General features: G+C 36.3%; 1 protein-coding gene across 4 annotated transcripts in view, besides 2 other annotated features; it reads right to left on the bottom strand.

Moving 5' to 3' along the window:
• ALCAM (activated leukocyte cell adhesion molecule) overlaps window positions 1-16742 on the bottom strand; it is a 209992-nt gene that overhangs the window by 65056 nt on the left and 128194 nt on the right. The window lies entirely within an intron of this gene.
• Window positions 6654-7184: an enhancer, noted in NCBI's record as "H3K27ac-H3K4me1 hESC enhancer chr3:105223505-105224035 (GRCh37/hg19 assembly coordinates)". NCBI's record gives its function as "activates a minimal SCP1, AML or CMV promoter by ChIP-STARR-seq in primed H9 embryonic stem cells {active_cell/tissue: H9 hESC(primed)}" and the evidence as "EXISTENCE:reporter gene assay evidence [ECO:0000049][PMID:30033119]".
• Window positions 7185-7715: an enhancer, noted in NCBI's record as "H3K27ac-H3K4me1 hESC enhancer chr3:105222974-105223504 (GRCh37/hg19 assembly coordinates)". NCBI's record gives its function as "activates a minimal SCP1, AML or CMV promoter by ChIP-STARR-seq in primed H9 embryonic stem cells {active_cell/tissue: H9 hESC(primed)}" and the evidence as "EXISTENCE:reporter gene assay evidence [ECO:0000049][PMID:30033119]".

Genomic DNA, 16742 nt, shown 5'->3' with positions numbered 1-16742 from the left:
GTGATCTAGTCCGGTATGCTAGCTTCTGGTATATTCCACATTAAGTATCTAACCTCATACTGAAAAATGTTTATATCAGTTGAAATACCTTTTTGCTCTTTTCTTCACATGAATCACAATTAGCATTGCCTATGTCTCCTGAGGATATAGATTTGTACAATCAAACATGGTAAGTAGTAAAGGTTAAAAAGCTATTTAATAGATTTTTCCACATATTTGGTGCAGCTTGCTGGCTGATTTCCGAGACTTAGATTTGTGTAAATTCCATGCTTTTAATTGACAGCTCCCTGGAGGGGTTGCAATATAAGTTAAGGTCATAGGAAGAATATTACGGCTTTCTATGGCATTTTGTCCTTTCTTTAAGAACTGAAGTCAGCTTACTATAAGATCTAGTTTTCTAGCTTTGAGGAGAAAGGAGAGATGGAATGTTTGTCCAAGATAAATTTTTGAAGGAGACTAAAAGCACAGGAAAGAGGAAATTAAAAATAAAACAAATAGTCACATACACTTGGGAAATCAGTATAATCTGCTATCTGAAGATAAAATCATCTTTCTGCCTTAAGAGATGGTGTGTCACCTCAAGGACTGAGTGAGAATGGAGAGTCATGCTCATTGTAGCTTGCCCACAATGGTAGCCCAGTGGGGTAACTCTGGAATGCATGAACTTAGAGAGTCATACTGACATCTATTAATATTTTAACAATAACTTTTCATGTGTTCCATTTTTCCTGACAGTCATTCTTCTTAATTGAAGAGTGGGAGGAAAGATGGGAAAAAGAACAAGATAATTTAGGAAGGCAATGAGTAGAGATGAGAAATATAGGAAGCTGTATTGAAAGGTAGTTTTATCATTTCTAAGGGTATGAAATCTGCATCTGAAGGTGCCTCCCGTTTTGAAATTTTCCAGTACTCCCAAAGATTTTAACTCTTTGAAAACTTCATTTTATATCCCAGAGGCCAAATGTAGTTTTTTAATGTCTTATATTTATTCTGCAATTTAGGAAATGGTTAAATGCACCGCCCAGAAGAATTTTTGGAAGACTAGCTATCACAAACAAGGTGGTAAAACATAAACAAAAACACTGGATAAGGAAAACAAGTTCTTACAGCAGGTCAATGGCACCTGTAGACTGATTACACAGGAACTCGAACATGAGGACAGTGTTACTAAACCCTGACATGAACCCCTCTTCTGGGAATGTGCCTGCTCTCAGATGGTTTCCCACACTTGGTAATATTTGCATTCTGTCTCACTTGTCTCTGCTTCTCCTCTTCACATCCTTAGTAAAACATTATTAAATAAGTGGTTCATCACTTTTGTTTATTATTTAGGGAAAAAAGTCTCTGTGAAGTCTAGTGGACATGAAAATGTTCCTCATAGATCTCCAACTGCTGGGAACATAACTTACCCAACTGCCACATTCTGTCTATTACCAGATTTGTGCTAAGGTTACACTTTTACCAGCTGTTCCCAGCTAATAATTGAATGCAACAAGTATACTAAGACAGGCAAGTTTCTTGGTTACAAGAGACTCCTATGAGGGCTGATTATAGCTCACGGATACCCCGATTCCCTGATGAACCTTCCTTAGACTGCATGACAGTCTAGAACGCTTCCACCCAACCTTCATATCCTCTCCCTTTCACTTGGGACCATCTTTACTCTGCGGTATGCTTATTCTCCACACCGACCACCCCCATCTTCTTCCTCATTTTTTCTTGCATAGGTGTTTTTCCTAATACATTCTTTGTATGTTAAATCCATTTTGACATCTGCTTTTCAGAGGATCCTAACATCTGGAGGAAATTAGGCAGATCATAACCGTATTGACCCACTGACATTAGTAGACTATGAAATTCCAGAAAATAAAGATTTCAGTACTGATGTGATGAAAAAATCCCACCCCAATTTAGTAAGGGGTTAGTTAAATTAAAAATAAAAAATATACAAAAAATGAGTTTAACATTGATTAAAGACTTAAATGTAAGACAAACCTTAAAGCTTTTAGAAGAATGCATAGGGGAAAAGCTCTTTGACATTGGACTTGGCAATAATTTTTTTGGATAAGACACCAAAAGCACAGGCAACAAAATTAAAATACGCAGGTAAGACTATATTAAACTAAAAAGCTTCTACACAGCAGAGGAAACAACCAGCAAAATAAAAAGTCAGCCTATGAATAGGGAGAAAATATTTGCAAACCATATACCTGATAAAGGGTTGATATCCAAAATATGTAAGGAATTCATAAAACTTAGTAGTAAACAAAACAAAACCCACAGAGAAGCAGATAAAAAAAACAGGCACATGACCTGAATAGGCATTTTTCCAAAGAAGACATATAATTAGCCAATAGATATATGAAAAGGTACTCAACATCACTCATCATTAGGGAAATTAAATCAAAATCACAATGACATATCATCTCATGCCTGTTAAGATGGTTCTTATTGAAAAAACAAGAGATACCAAGTATTGATGAGGATGTAGAGAAAAGGAAATCCTTGTACGCTCTTGGTGGCAATGTAAATTGGTACAGCAATTATGAAAAACGGTGTGAAGGTTCCTCAAAAAGTTAAAATAGAACTACCAGATAATCCAGCAATCCCACTTCTGGGTATATGCCTAAAAGAAAGGAATCAATACTGAGATGCCTGTACTCCCCTGTTCACTGCAGCATTATTCACAATAGCCAAGATATGGACACAACCAAAGTGTCTATTTATGGATGAAAGGATAAATAAATTGTCTATATAGATACAAACACAATAAAATATTACTCAGCCTCAACAAAGGAGACCCTGCCATTTGTGACAACACAGAGGAACCTGGAGAACATTATGCTAATTGAAATAAGCCAAAGAAAGACAAATGCTACATAATCATACTTATATGTGGAATCTAGAAAAGGCAAATACACAGAAACAGAGAGTGGATGGTGATTACCAGGGGTGGGAAGATGTCAGAAGTGGGGAGATGTTGGTCAAAGGCTACAAAGTTACAACTGTATAGGACACAACTAGAAATGTAAAGTACAGCATGATGACTGTGGTTAATAATAGTGTACTGTATAGTAGAAATTTTCTAAGAGAGTGGATTTCAGGTACTCTCATCACACACAAAAAATGATAACTATGTGAGGAGAGTGATATGTTGATTTGCTTAACTGTAGTCATCATTTCACAAGGCATATGTATATCAAAACCTCATGTTGTATAGATTAAATATATACAATAAAAGATTAAATAGACCTAGAAATACATTAAAGCAATTGGTAATAATACTGAATGTTTTTATGGTGTTTTATAGTTTGCAACATTCTTTTATATACATTGTACATTTTTGCATTTGGGCTTCACAAAAGTCCTGTATGATAAGCAAAGAAACCTGTATGATGAACAAATATTATTATCCTTCATTTTACCAATAGGAAACTGTTCTCCCTGCAAAGTCAAGAGAATAAGCCAATATCACGAAGCCAGTATGTGATGGAGATAGAGCTCAAAATGAATTCTCAGCTCAAGTCCAATTCTCATCACTATTAGATATACAAAAAATGATTCCATGTCCTTATTTCATTTTATATTGTGGATAATTCAAGAATATTGTTTTGGAAAGTATTAAAATGCTTTTCATATTTAGACAAATATTTTAAAAAACATATAGGTTAGAAGGACTAGAAAGAAAATGAACTAACACATTTTATCACTTCTTTCTCAATGGGATGCTATGTAGCAATTTGGCACTTGCTCCCAGGAAATACAAGTCCTGTCCGTGGCAGCTGTTCTAATTTTCAAAATAAAATAGAAAATCATGAATATTCAAGAAGATAGGCATCTTTCAGATCAGGAACCAGAAGTCTAATGAGGCTTTTTAATGTAGGTGGGGCACTCAGGTTACAGGCAGAGGAGCCCTATATGCATTTCTAACACCAAAAACGGCAGGGGTAGCACAGTAGACCTCCAATAAAAACGTACTGAATGACTAAAATGGCAAGGTTGAGATTAAAGTCTTTCTAACTTAAAGACCTGTGTCTTTCCTCTCTGTCAAAAACACTTTTCACAATTAACGACTTTTCAAATGAGTTGCAAGTTTATGTCCACACAAAAACCTGAACAAGAATGTTTATACAAGCTTTACTTATAACTTCTAAAACTTGGACAAGATGTCCTTCAACAGATGAATGAAAAAATTGTGGTAATCCAGACAATGAAATATTATTTAGCAATAAAAAGAAATGAGCCAGCAAGCCATGAAAAAAACACGAAGGGACCTGAAATGCATACTGCGAAGTAAAAGAAGCCAGTCTGAAAAGGCTAAATACTGTATGATTCCAACTATATGCCATTCTGGAAAAGGCAAAACTATGGAGATAGTAAAGAGACCAGTGGTTGCCAGGGTCTCAAGGGAGGGAGGAAAGAATGAATAGACGGAGAACAGGACATTTTTAGGGCAGTGAAATTATTCTGATATGATAATGAATAAACATTATTAAGTGTTTGTCGAAACCCATAAAATGTACAACACAACAGGAAAATCTAATGTAAGCTAGGGACTATAGTCAATAATAATGTATCAACATCGGCTCACCAATTGCAACAAATGTACCACACTAATGCAAAGATGTTAATAATAGGGGAAACTAGGGGCAAGGGGGTGGGGAGGCAGGGAATTGCGGGCCTATATAGGAGCTCTTTACTTTCCACTCAAATTTTTCCATAAACTAAGAACAGATAAAAATAGTCTATTAATTAAAAACAAGTGATACACACAATTTCTTCAGCCTATGCAATATATTCTACATTTAGACAGTCTCATCTAAATTCCACTGGTATAGGGAGAGGGAAGGACACAAACATCTTCAAGGGCAAAGCTTTGGCATCCATTAGCAGAGGTGATTCCAGTCTAGGCAGCTGAATCCCCAGGCAGATTTCAGCAGGTGCTGACTTTCCAACAGCACCAAAACCTCTGATGAACAAGAGTGTCTTGAGTAGAGGCTTAGCAATTGCTGTTTTATGATTATGTTTTTCACATATTCCCAATCCCACTGAGGTGCTAATACATTTGGTTCATCTTTCCATTTTAAAAGAGACAATGGCTTTGATAATTTGTTCATGGTTACTGCTTAGGGAGATAATGACACTCAAAATTCCCCTAACTGAATATTATAATATTACGTCTTTGGCTCTGCTATTTTTAACAGCTTTTAAAGACAATAGTGTCATTTGGGTTTAAAAAAAAGTTCACTGTTCCTACTCATTAAAGGAATACTAGGTTATAAAGACGAGCTGTAAGAGTCCTAGCAGGGCTTCAGATTATATCATGTATTTAGTTTATGAATCTCATTTTGTTATGAATCTATAACTGAAACAACTCCCAATGCTTCCCCCAGGAAGTAATTAATTGGAAACCAAACAAACAAACCACATGGAAAAGACTGAAATACTTTGTATTACTGTCTGAAAATCCAATGGTAATTTTCAAGTTCATTCCCACCTGAGTCCTACAAAAATATGCTATAAGTGTGTGTTCTTCAGCTACAATTCTACCTCTCTGTGTATTTACAACAGCTAATAAGAACACCACCCCTAGAATCAATTTAAAACATTTTCTTTATGTTTTGTGAATTGCAGGAAGCCTCAACATGCAAATATAACTATTAGTACATGTTTAATTAACAGGCATATATTACATACTTCTTAGGTAAAGAGTATCATTTTAGAGAGTTTGTTATGTAGAAATCCATAAATTTGTGTTTCTAATTTTAAAAACAGGGAGCTGTTCAACAAAGAAAATTTCCAATACAAAATCTTATTTAACAGTCACCAAGGTAAACACATAAGATCAATAAAAATCGCTGATCATACTTCAACACAATTATACTTCAGAAAGATAAAGTTATGGAAATTTTCTATTTGTTCTAAAGCCTTTGTAGCTATGAGAATATTTATAATGATTTCTGTGGGAAAGCCAATAAAATCTTTTGAAAATGAAAAAAATTAAATATATCTGAAGAATAGTGTAGGTTATATCTTTATCTAATATTGTTGATATAATCCAAAGACTGTAAAAGATATATGCTAAACATCTGATTAGAATTTAATAAGTTATTTATTACTGATCTGTGCCAAACAGTCTTCAATATTTTTTCTAAGAATGTTTTTCTGTGAAAATATTTTTATTTTTAAAAATAAAATTTCCTTAATCTAAAAGGCTCTGATTCGTATTAATTCAGATAAATTGGACATAAAGCTATTGATTGGCTAAAATGTCCAGATACTATACTCCTGCTGGGCATATGATATGATTTGGATTTGTGTTCCTGCACAAATCTCATGTCTAATTATAATCCCCAATGCTGGAAGAGGGGCCTGGTAGGAGGTGACTGGATTATGGGCGTGGATTTCCCCCTTGTTGTTCTCAAGATAGTGCCTTCTCATAAGAGCTGGTGGTTTAAAAGCCTGTGGCAGCTTCCTCATCACTCTCTTCCTCCTTCTCTGGCCATGTAAGATGTCCCTGGTTCCTCTTCACCTTCCGCCACGATTGCAAGTTTCCTGAGGCCTCCTCAGCTGTGTTCCCTGTACAGCTGGTGGAACTGAGTCAATTAAACCTCTTTTCTTTATAAATTACTCAGTCTCGGGTAGTTCTTTATAGCAATGAGAGGACGGTCTAATACAACATATACATATAAATAAGCTACCTCTTCCAAGGAGATAAAAATCTAGAAGACAGAAATGAAACATAATTAGCAGCAGAGTGTAGCAATTAAGGCATTGTTTCTGGCCTCAGACCTGGTAAGGATGAATCCAGCTCTGCTACTAATAAGCTAGGTGACTTCTAGTGAGTTACTTAGCCAATATGCACTAATGTTTCCCAGCTGTAAAATTGAGGACAATGATAGTGATATGGAAGGGAAGTGCTGGGTAGGGAAGAGCGTGGTCCCTTTAAATGATACAGAAGGGGGAAGGGAAGAGCTGGGTAGAGGGGGACGTGGTCCCTGGCTAGGGCTCCACCCCCAGGCCTGTGTCCCCACACCTAGGTGAAGACAGGCATTTTTGTTTTCCTGCCCAAATGTTGCATTTCCCAAGACCACCCTGGCCTGCCATGCCCCCATCCTGGGCCTACAAAAACCCTGAGACCCTAGCAGGCAGAGACACACAGGTGGTCGTCTGGAGGAGCAGCACATCGGCGGGGGGAAGGTGGGGGGAACAAACGAGCAGCTGGACGTCAAGAGGTATGTATTGACAGGCACCAGCAGGCCGGCAGGCCGTGGGCTTGCAGAAACAGACGCGGAGTTGGCGGGGGCAGCTGAAGGAGAGGCTAGGCCGCTGAGTGGCCAGACTCCAGGAGAAAACCTTCCCACTTCATCCTCCTTCTGGCTTCCCCCATCTGCTGAGAGCTACCTCCACTAAATAAAAGCTTGCACTCATTCTCCAAGCCCATACGTGATCTGATTCTTCCGGTACACCAAGGCAAGAACCCGAGATACAGAAAGCCCTCTGTCCTTGTGACAACGTAGAAGGTCTAATTAAGCTGGTTAACACAAGCCGCCTATAGACGGCGAAACTAAAAGAGCACAAGACACTGCGATAGGGTCGGAGCTCCATAACCTGCCCCATAACCTGCCCGTCTGTGTGCTCCCTAGAGGTTTGAGCAGTGGGGCACTGAAGAAGCGAGCCACTACCCCTGTCGCATGCCCTGTGAGGGGGACAAGGGAACTTTCCCCCTTTTAATAGTATCATGCTCATAGTGTTATCATGAATATACTAAATTAATAAGTATAAGTTGCTTTAAAAAAGTGCTTTTCATACAACGAGTGCTGAAAGTTATTATGTCTCTTTGGCTTTTATTTATTGGAATAATGGAGATTATATGCCAAATGTTGCAGGAGCAGAGGAGGGATTGATGAATAGGCTGGAGAAGGCTTTGCCTGGAATGGACATTTATACTGAATCATCACAGATAAGAATTTCTTCAAGTGGAAAGAAGGATGAAGGAAACTCCTTGCAAGAGAAAGGCTGGAGCAAGGGTATAATCATGTTCAGCCAGTGTGGCTGAGGTTTAGGGGCTGTAGGAGGTGATGGAAGGAAAGGCACCTGGGAAAGAAGCAATGGGGTGATACTTTGAAAGCCTTAAATAATAGCTTAAACAATTTGGACTTTATTCTGTAAAGAATGTGGAGTCAACAAAAGGATTTTTGGTTCATTTTAAGGATGGCAGTGAAGTGGTCAGATTTTTGCTATTGAAAATTATGGCAGCAGTATGAAGGCAAACTAGCTGGAGAAGGGACTCGGGGAAGGTAATCGTGTTAAAGTGTTTAGGTTATGTACTCATAGTGAAATAGGGCAGTGGGAATGAAAAAGAGGCACAGTGAAAAGGAGACAGGAGACATTTCTAAAGTAGAATCGATATGAGCCTCAGTCAGTTTGCTGCATTTTTCAACTACAAAGTTCACATTTCCCAACATAACTAAGTACACAGCTCACATGAAAAACAGCTAATACCAAGTCTCTGTAGAAGCATATCATACACTATGTGTGAAATCACACACTCACTAGGCAAATAGGAAAGCTGTCTTTTTGTGTTAGCTCTTTGGAAAAGCTTGAGACTAAATAAGTAGAAGAGTCCAAAGCAAATATTAACTCTGGTGGTGTTAGGTGCTTGGATTTCTAAACGCAAATTGTTAATGCAAAATGCATTTTGGCTTTAACACACGCGAGCCCTTTTTGCCACACACTATAAACTACAGAAAGAGAAAAACCCAAAGCTGGAACTTAAACTCTCCTAAAGAAATACTGTTGTTTGTTTTCTTAAGCTTTGTGCTTACCAATTTGAGATTGGAAAAAGTAAATGCAAAAATAAAATGTTAATAACAAGTTCTGTAATACTGTGCTTTTTAATCAGTACTAATTTTTCTTTTTAAGAGAAGTTTCTGAATTTATTTGGGAATCCAGAAGTCTTTCTGAAAACACTGATGAGTAGATCAAGGACCTCATGTAAAGCTCTGATACAAAGTACAAAGCCAATTCTAGGTGATAGTGTGACCAAAGATAGTTGCCAAAGACTATGGCTGTTAATTTTGGTTACTAGTGAATTTCAGTTTTGACTTGACATACAATGCTTTCCCTGCACAGGGAGGCAGTGGAAAATATCATTTATATGTCTTTCAAATACCTCTTTCAAAAGTTATTGGTAACTGAGAGATAGCAGTCTCTGATGTTCCTGTCTTTCTTTCCCAGCTGTACAAAAGGGTAATTGAGCAAACTGTGCCCTGCTCTGCTGGGAAGTCAATCCATCCGTCTAACCTGCAGCTGCCTGGCTGATGGCCTTTCTCCTATTCACCATTCATTTGCTTTTCTGTACTCTCCTCAAATGCCCCGGCTCTGGGAAATGATTTCCAAAAGCATGGCCTCAAGCCCTGAAGAACATGGACTCTGATAACCACCCAGGTCTTCATTCTTACAATGCTGTCTGCCACTAATGTTAGGTAGTAGATGATAAGAATTTTTTAAAAAAAATTCTACATAAAATATCTGTTTTATAACTCATACTTGAAAGAACACTAGTGTAAAGAGACTAGAGAAAACAAGTTTCTTGTTTCATCTTAACCTCATTGTGACCTTGCTTTCTTGGGCTTCAGTTTATTTATGCATAATATGATATAAGACAAGGCTTAAATATTCTAGGATTCAGATTCTCCAATATGAGAAAAAGCATACAGTTAATTTTCAGTTGGAATTTCTAGCCCTATTACTTTTATGCCTGGACTGGCAAAAAGATAGTATGTCAGATTTCTTATTTTCATCTTATAATTTAATTTGCTGTTGGAGTTTTCAATGAATATTTTAGTAACTTGACATTGAACAAACTTTGATTTTGGTTTCTAACTCTATATCAATTGATAAGTGTTTTCAACTGTAACTTGAGTTTGCTTTAGATTGGTTGCCACTATCACTTAAGAATTATTAAACATTTTTATTGCATTGCCTCAGCATGTAATATGTTTTAAGTATTGGCAGGCACTATGCTTTATATCTTTCCAATACTACTCTCATAATAAGCTTGTGAGCTTAGAAGCCATGCTGCATGCAGGAAATTCTGATTCAGGCATAGTACTGTTTCATTTAAATAGGGAACAAAATGAATTAATATTATTCATCTTAATTACTACCATTATGGATAAGAAAAATAAACTACATTTCAAAATTAAAGTAATATTTTATGTATTCAAGATCACTCAGATATTATTTTCTAGGTATTTGAAATCTAGATTCTTATACCTTATAGATTTTTATTTTTAAATTATTTTAGATGGAGAATATTTGGAACATCTGGAGCATCTTGCATACTCTTCTGATGTCAAATAAAATTACATGTCAAAATACCATTATATAGTGCTTAAGATTTCACTTTCCAGTTACACTATCTGTTAAACCAAATATTATTCAGAATGTAAATAAACATCTCCTTGATAACTGTTATTTCTATAAGCACATACTATGCTATAATTCAGTGAGACTTTCAGGAATTACTGAACTGTTTCAACCGACTTGCCAATATACTAAACAGCCCCACCCCAAACAGTATTTTGAAATTCCTGTGCTTTGTTTACAATGATTTATCTTTTCTCTCACTATTCCTGTCAGTTGTCAGTCACTCTCGCTAATGATAACAGCCCGCATTTGTGCAGCACCTCAGAGCCTTCGAAGCACTCGCCCATTTATTGCTCCCTTCTGTGATTGTCTCATAGTCCCTTTCCAGTTTGCCACTAACATGCCAGGCCTTTGAAAACAACATAATCAAACTTTAAAAGAGATTCAATGTAAAGAGTAAACAGTCTCTGTGAGAGGGGCCCAAGGAGTTTCCTTGTGAATAAAGTTTGGTTCATGGACATCAGCATTTATTTTGACTGCTCAAAACCTGGGTGTTTCCTGCAGAGCTGGGCTCTGAATGGTTGAGGTTGGCAGATAAGAAGACTCCAGCTGTAGGAAATATTTCTGTTATTGCCCTTTTATAAGGAAATGTTTAGTGATTCCAAGATGTACATTTGAAATGATAAGTGACCTTAGAGATAATTTATTGCAGTCACTCATCCTGTAACTAAAGAAGCTAAGGACCAGAGAATTTAAAGTGTTGAAGATAGAACCAAGTTAAGGAAATGACTCTTGTGACTCTTAATCCAATATTGTTTTTATGAACACCACATCATGTATTTGTTCTAAATAGTCTTGGTATTTTAAAGATACTGAATTTTTGTAAGTTTGGCATGGTGATATGAAATGGAGATAATATATTTCAAGTGCATTACTATAACATGCAATGGAGTATGTAATAGAAAATTAACTTTCGTATATTAAATTTTAAATATTGTATCAGCATTTTCTCCATAGTTGCTGAAGTTGGAAAGGAAATATTTTAAAAGAGAGATCTTTTAATGTCATCTAAACACCCACCACAAACAGAGCTTGCATCGTAAAAATACAGAATCCTAAGAAAAAAAGAAAGAAAAGGGAAAAAAGAAGAGATGGTGAGTGAAAGAAGCTAGGAAGGAGATGAGAAAAGAGGAAGGAAGAAGAAGGCAGGCAGGCTTACAGGAAAAGTTCATCATTCTTTGTCGTATTAATATGAAGAAAGTATGGTAATTTTTTGTGAGTTTTTGTATTGTGAAATAATGTGGAAACTGGTGGTAAATCAAGTGTAACACTTAAGAAATAATTTGGGAGACATTAACTGATATGAGCTCTAAACAAAACCTCCAGTGAGGATCCTGTGTAGTCTGTGAACAAAGCCAATCTACTGCACACTGACCTTCTACAAAGAGGCTCTGAAAACAAAGTGGTTGTTAGGTGAGGTAAATTGAAATAAGAAAAGATAGCAGATATTACATTAAAGGCTCCCGTATTTATTAAGGGTACGGCAATTCTAAAATCTAATTGTGAAATGCAGTTCTCCCTGAGGATTCCTACAGCTAATTGGAACAGGTGAGAGAGAATGTAGAAGAAAGAGGTAGCCATATTTGTACTTAGATAGTTTTGGGTAAGCTGTCTGTTCTGTCTAGAAATCACATCAGCTTTCCAGCAGAGTACCATGAGAAAATGCTTTTGGTTCTGTTTGCCATCCCTGCTAATGTTTACCCTACTTAATCATTTGCATTTAAACTTGATAGACCAATTACATCAAACAGCTACCTCTCCGCCCCAGCAGATTTTAATCAACAAACAGAAATTAATTTGTATGTAGAAAGACAGACATGAACTGATTTATAGAATACAGTTTTAAGGCAAAAAATATTTCTTTTCTTTAGCAAGATAAGATTAAAGGACTCTTCTGTACATGACTGGAAATGAAAGCCATGTTAAAGTTACATGATATTTTTGGCCTGGAATTTAGAAAGAATTAGTAAAACAAACTTTATTACTAGGCCTATTTTCCAAACTGGTAATATTATAGTATGAAAGAGTCACATAATTTCTTCCTTTTTTGCTACAATTTAACATTCTAGTTTGATCTTTTGCTTTAAATGGTAATTCACTTAAGTTTTGGTCTCCTCTCACCTAAAGTCACTTGCTCTTAAGGAATATAAAACATATGTATATTTAAAATTATTTTCTAGTTCTTAGATATTAAAGATATAGGGTTGCCACTCCACAGGGCTTTGAAAAATTCTACTTTGCTTGGGTTTTTACAGTGATTAAAGTATTATTTCTCTTTAGTAGGTACATTTTAATCACTGAACTTAGAAGATATCTAGTGATATTGTACTATTGTAATTTGTTGTCATTCATTTGCCTAAAGAAAGGTGAGATAAGTTATATCCTTTGTATTGCTGAAAAAATACATCATTTTGAACATATATCAATACAATAAGCAAAACTCTGAAATACATTAATATTTATATAACTTCTTCAAGAATTTTCTCACACTGTTTTAGCAGTTCGTGATGGAACTAAATCTATTAGAAAAAATACTAAAGGCATTGTACAATATCTCATATTGCATTCTTGTATCCCATAAGACAATGGGAATTTAGCAAGGAGTCAGGATCATCTTAATTGTTAAACTAAAGTTTTCATTTGAATTTCTGTTTTATTAATGGATCACCATGTGCCCCTGAAGGTTTTTATATTGGAATGTTTTACTAGATTCCTTAACAGCCATTTGCCTCTCTTGGATAGTGGAGCTCCAAGCACAAAACTTTGAAGTGTTATAAAAAGCAGAACACTCCTGGAATCTTTACAAATGGAACAAGACTAATACCTTATGCCTACATGATATCAAGGCAGGTAAAATTATATTATACTAATAAAGAGAAAGATGATTAAAACACACACACACACACACACATTTGGCAGGCTAACAGACAAAACATGGTGGTGTCAAGGATACCAAACTCAAGACAAATGTCATTATTCTTCTCTATGTAGTGTTGAGACCTGGGTCCTGAATTTCTTAGCACATTATTCACACATTTACTTTTTAGAAAACTTCCCACTTATGCTGACATTTTACATTGTGTTTTGTGTGACCAGAAACTACAGAATACAGAAGCAGAATACTATAAAGAGTGGAGGAAAAAACCCAGCAATTTGAAACTCAAACGTCCTGGTTTTGAACCCTGACACCAGACTTCCTAGCCATATGACTTTGAATATATTTAACCACTACACCTCCCTACTTCACAAACTGTAAAGCAGGGACAATCACACTTATCTTTCAGCATTAAGTCGATAATGAATGTACGATATCAGTAACCTGGAACATGGTGGGTGCTTCACAAAGGATAGTCCAATTTCCCCCCTTTTTTTTTTTTTTTGAGGCAGAGTCTCGCTCTGTCGCCCAGGCTTGAGTGCAGTGGTGTGATCTTGGCTCACTGCAAGCTCCGCCTCCCAGGTTCACACCATTATCCTGCCTCAGCCTCCCGAGTAGCTGGGACTACAGGTGCCTGCCACCACGCCCGGCTAATTTTTTGTATTTTTAGTAGAGACATGGTTTCACCGTGTTAGCCAGGATGGTCTCGATCTCCCGACCTCGTGATCCGCCCGCCTCGGCCTCCCAAAGTGCTAGGATTACAGGCGTGAGCGACCTCACCCAGGCCCCCAATTTCCCCTTTCAAACAGTAAGAGCCAAAAAGTTTTGATGGGCAACATATGGGTTCAGTGACTATATCTTCTAAATGCAAACTTGGGATATAATCTTCCACGTATGAATGCACTTACCATGACAGCAGGACAAAATATTTGAAACTATGAATGTCACCACAAAACCATGATGGGCGTTTATTATGCCATGAGGAATGTAGACATCAGGAGACTATCCAAGCTCATTTATTTTTAAAGAAATTTGATTTGCTAACAACCCATGCTGTTTCACTTAAAAAAAATAATAAGCAAGGCTAACTAGTGCACAATACACATCCAGTAAGGCATTTTCTCTGAAGAAATTACATGCATTATATAATTCATGTTATTGTGAATTGTAGTGTTGGCCAATTAGGAAATTTATACAAATATGAAGGCAAAAGAACTTAAAGTTCCTTATCATCATAAATGGCTGGGGAAGTCTTCTCTTTCTTCTCTATTTCCTCATCCTATATAGTATTTAAAGAAAAATTATTTCTTGTCTTCAGTATATTCTGTGACCTTTTAAAAATCCTATTTTCCTAGTAAAATGATTCATAGCTTTTTAAAGAAACTAAGAAGAAAACATTCTTACGGTTTTGGGGGTTTAGGTGAGAATACACTTTATATGAATTCTTTTCCTTAAGGGTACCATAAACTTTCTATTCTGCATTGATTAGATTCAAAAATAGAGTAAAGACGTTTTTTCTTTACCTGCTAAGAATAGTTAGAATGAGGTAATAGGGTGAAAGAAGAGATGGAAACGTCCATTTAATTCTTTCCATATTTGAGGACTAATTTTATTACACTTCTTCATTGCTCTTTTTCGTCTCTTTTCTGTACGTTCCACCACACACACACACACGCATGCACACACACACACACACACACACACACACCTCAATTGGACTATCAGAATATCTAACTGCACCAATGCACCAAGCAGAATGAGAAGTAATTTCTTCAGGATGGAACTCTTCTATTAATAAAAAATCACCTCACAATTTACTTTAAGATAATCTTATCTACCTCAGTCACTCTGTTCTGTTAATGTGCCTAACACCAAGAATGTCAAAAGACCTTGCAGAGAACCAGTGAATGAGAGGGGGCATGCTGAGTGACTTCTGGGGTGACTGGTACGACAAGTCCAGCAAAAGCGAAGACAATGAGGGAGATACAAAATAGGCATTTCCTCTTCAGTGACTGAGGAGGACAGAACGCTTTTGTAACAGCCTGTTTAGTGTTAGCATTCAAAGTATTAACTTTCCTTCCTCTTTCCCTCCATCCTTATCCCATTTTTCTCTTTTTCTTTGCACACTACAAAATAAGAAGCAAAGCTCTCTGTAACTTCTTGTAACAGAGTTGACTTTTCTGGGGAAATGACTGTTAGTCCTTTCTGAATGGCTTTAAGACCACAATATAAAATATTATTATATAACAAAGATATATTAAGCATTTGGGTTCTATATAAACTAAAAGATTTGGCTATAAAATTATTCGCCTAATTTGAAAATGTAAGATATATTCCTCTATGTGAATATAAGTATTTAATTATAGGAAACTACAATGTATTGGGGAACTTGCGTATTGTTATGCTCTGCAATGTTTCACATATGAAAAAGGCCTTTTCGGCTCATATTTATTTTCTCATACGTCCCTTAAGTTTTCTGATAGCAGAAAAAAGTGAGTATTTTAAAAATCCACATACTTCCGAAAACAGCTAAACTGAAGCTATCAGCATTTTTGCTAAGCACTTGAAACTTATAGTGAATGGAACTATTTGGGCTTTGAGAACAGCCAATTGTTGAAAGTTAAGAAAAAACAAGAGAGGGAAAGCAGAACTAGTTTAGTTTTCTTTTGGAAAACATCCATGTGCATTATTTAACTGAGACCTATTCTACAATACTGTGATTTTTAATTCCCTTAACTTTTCTTTTACTTTTTAGGTAGAACCATCAACCTGTTCTTCTTTAATCATTAATTTGCAGCCATAGGTAGTAAATGGCACTTTGATCTTGTTTGCTAATTTTAGACATAAACGGATTCTGAGTGCGTGCTGTGTAAAATGTATTATTCCACCGTGCTTTGCATACTTTAAGTACAACCTCAGGTTCTTCATATAAAAATAAGTTCTTATTTATGTTGCTGTTATCTATTTTAAAACTTGTTGTCTCACTATTTCATTGCCTGAGTTTAAATATGTCATTTTTTTGAACCAGGGCTCTATCTTTCACAGATTCTCTTTCTGTCTATACCCATCTTCATGTTTTGTTTTGTTTTTTTTTTGTCCCTTTGTGGAACAAAACAAATTTCACCCTGTTCATTCTTCTAGTGCTCATCACACTAAAAGGTCCTGCTGGTACTGCAGTTTTTATCAAAAAGTTTCCTACTTATAGAGAATCTGAGATATCAGCAGCCCCCAAGTGGTTTCAAGGGCTTTCAGCACCAAAGAGGAAAACAAGGAGCTAAATTACTTTCTGGATGCTCCAGATTTCTGATGTGGAATGTGGTATCATATGCAGTGCCAAAGAGTCCACATAGCTTTCACAAGCTCGTCACCACAGATGACACAGATTAAGTGGTGTTATTTTGGTAAGGAGTTTATAAAATGTTCAAAGCTTCCG

This window comes from Homo sapiens, chromosome 3, assembly GCF_000001405.40.
Source record: "Homo sapiens chromosome 3, GRCh38.p14 Primary Assembly".
Classification (NCBI taxonomy): domain Eukaryota; kingdom Metazoa; phylum Chordata; class Mammalia; order Primates; family Hominidae; genus Homo; species Homo sapiens.
The sequence above is the reverse complement of the archived record's forward strand: the minus strand, read 5'-3'. Positions and strand labels throughout refer to the sequence as shown.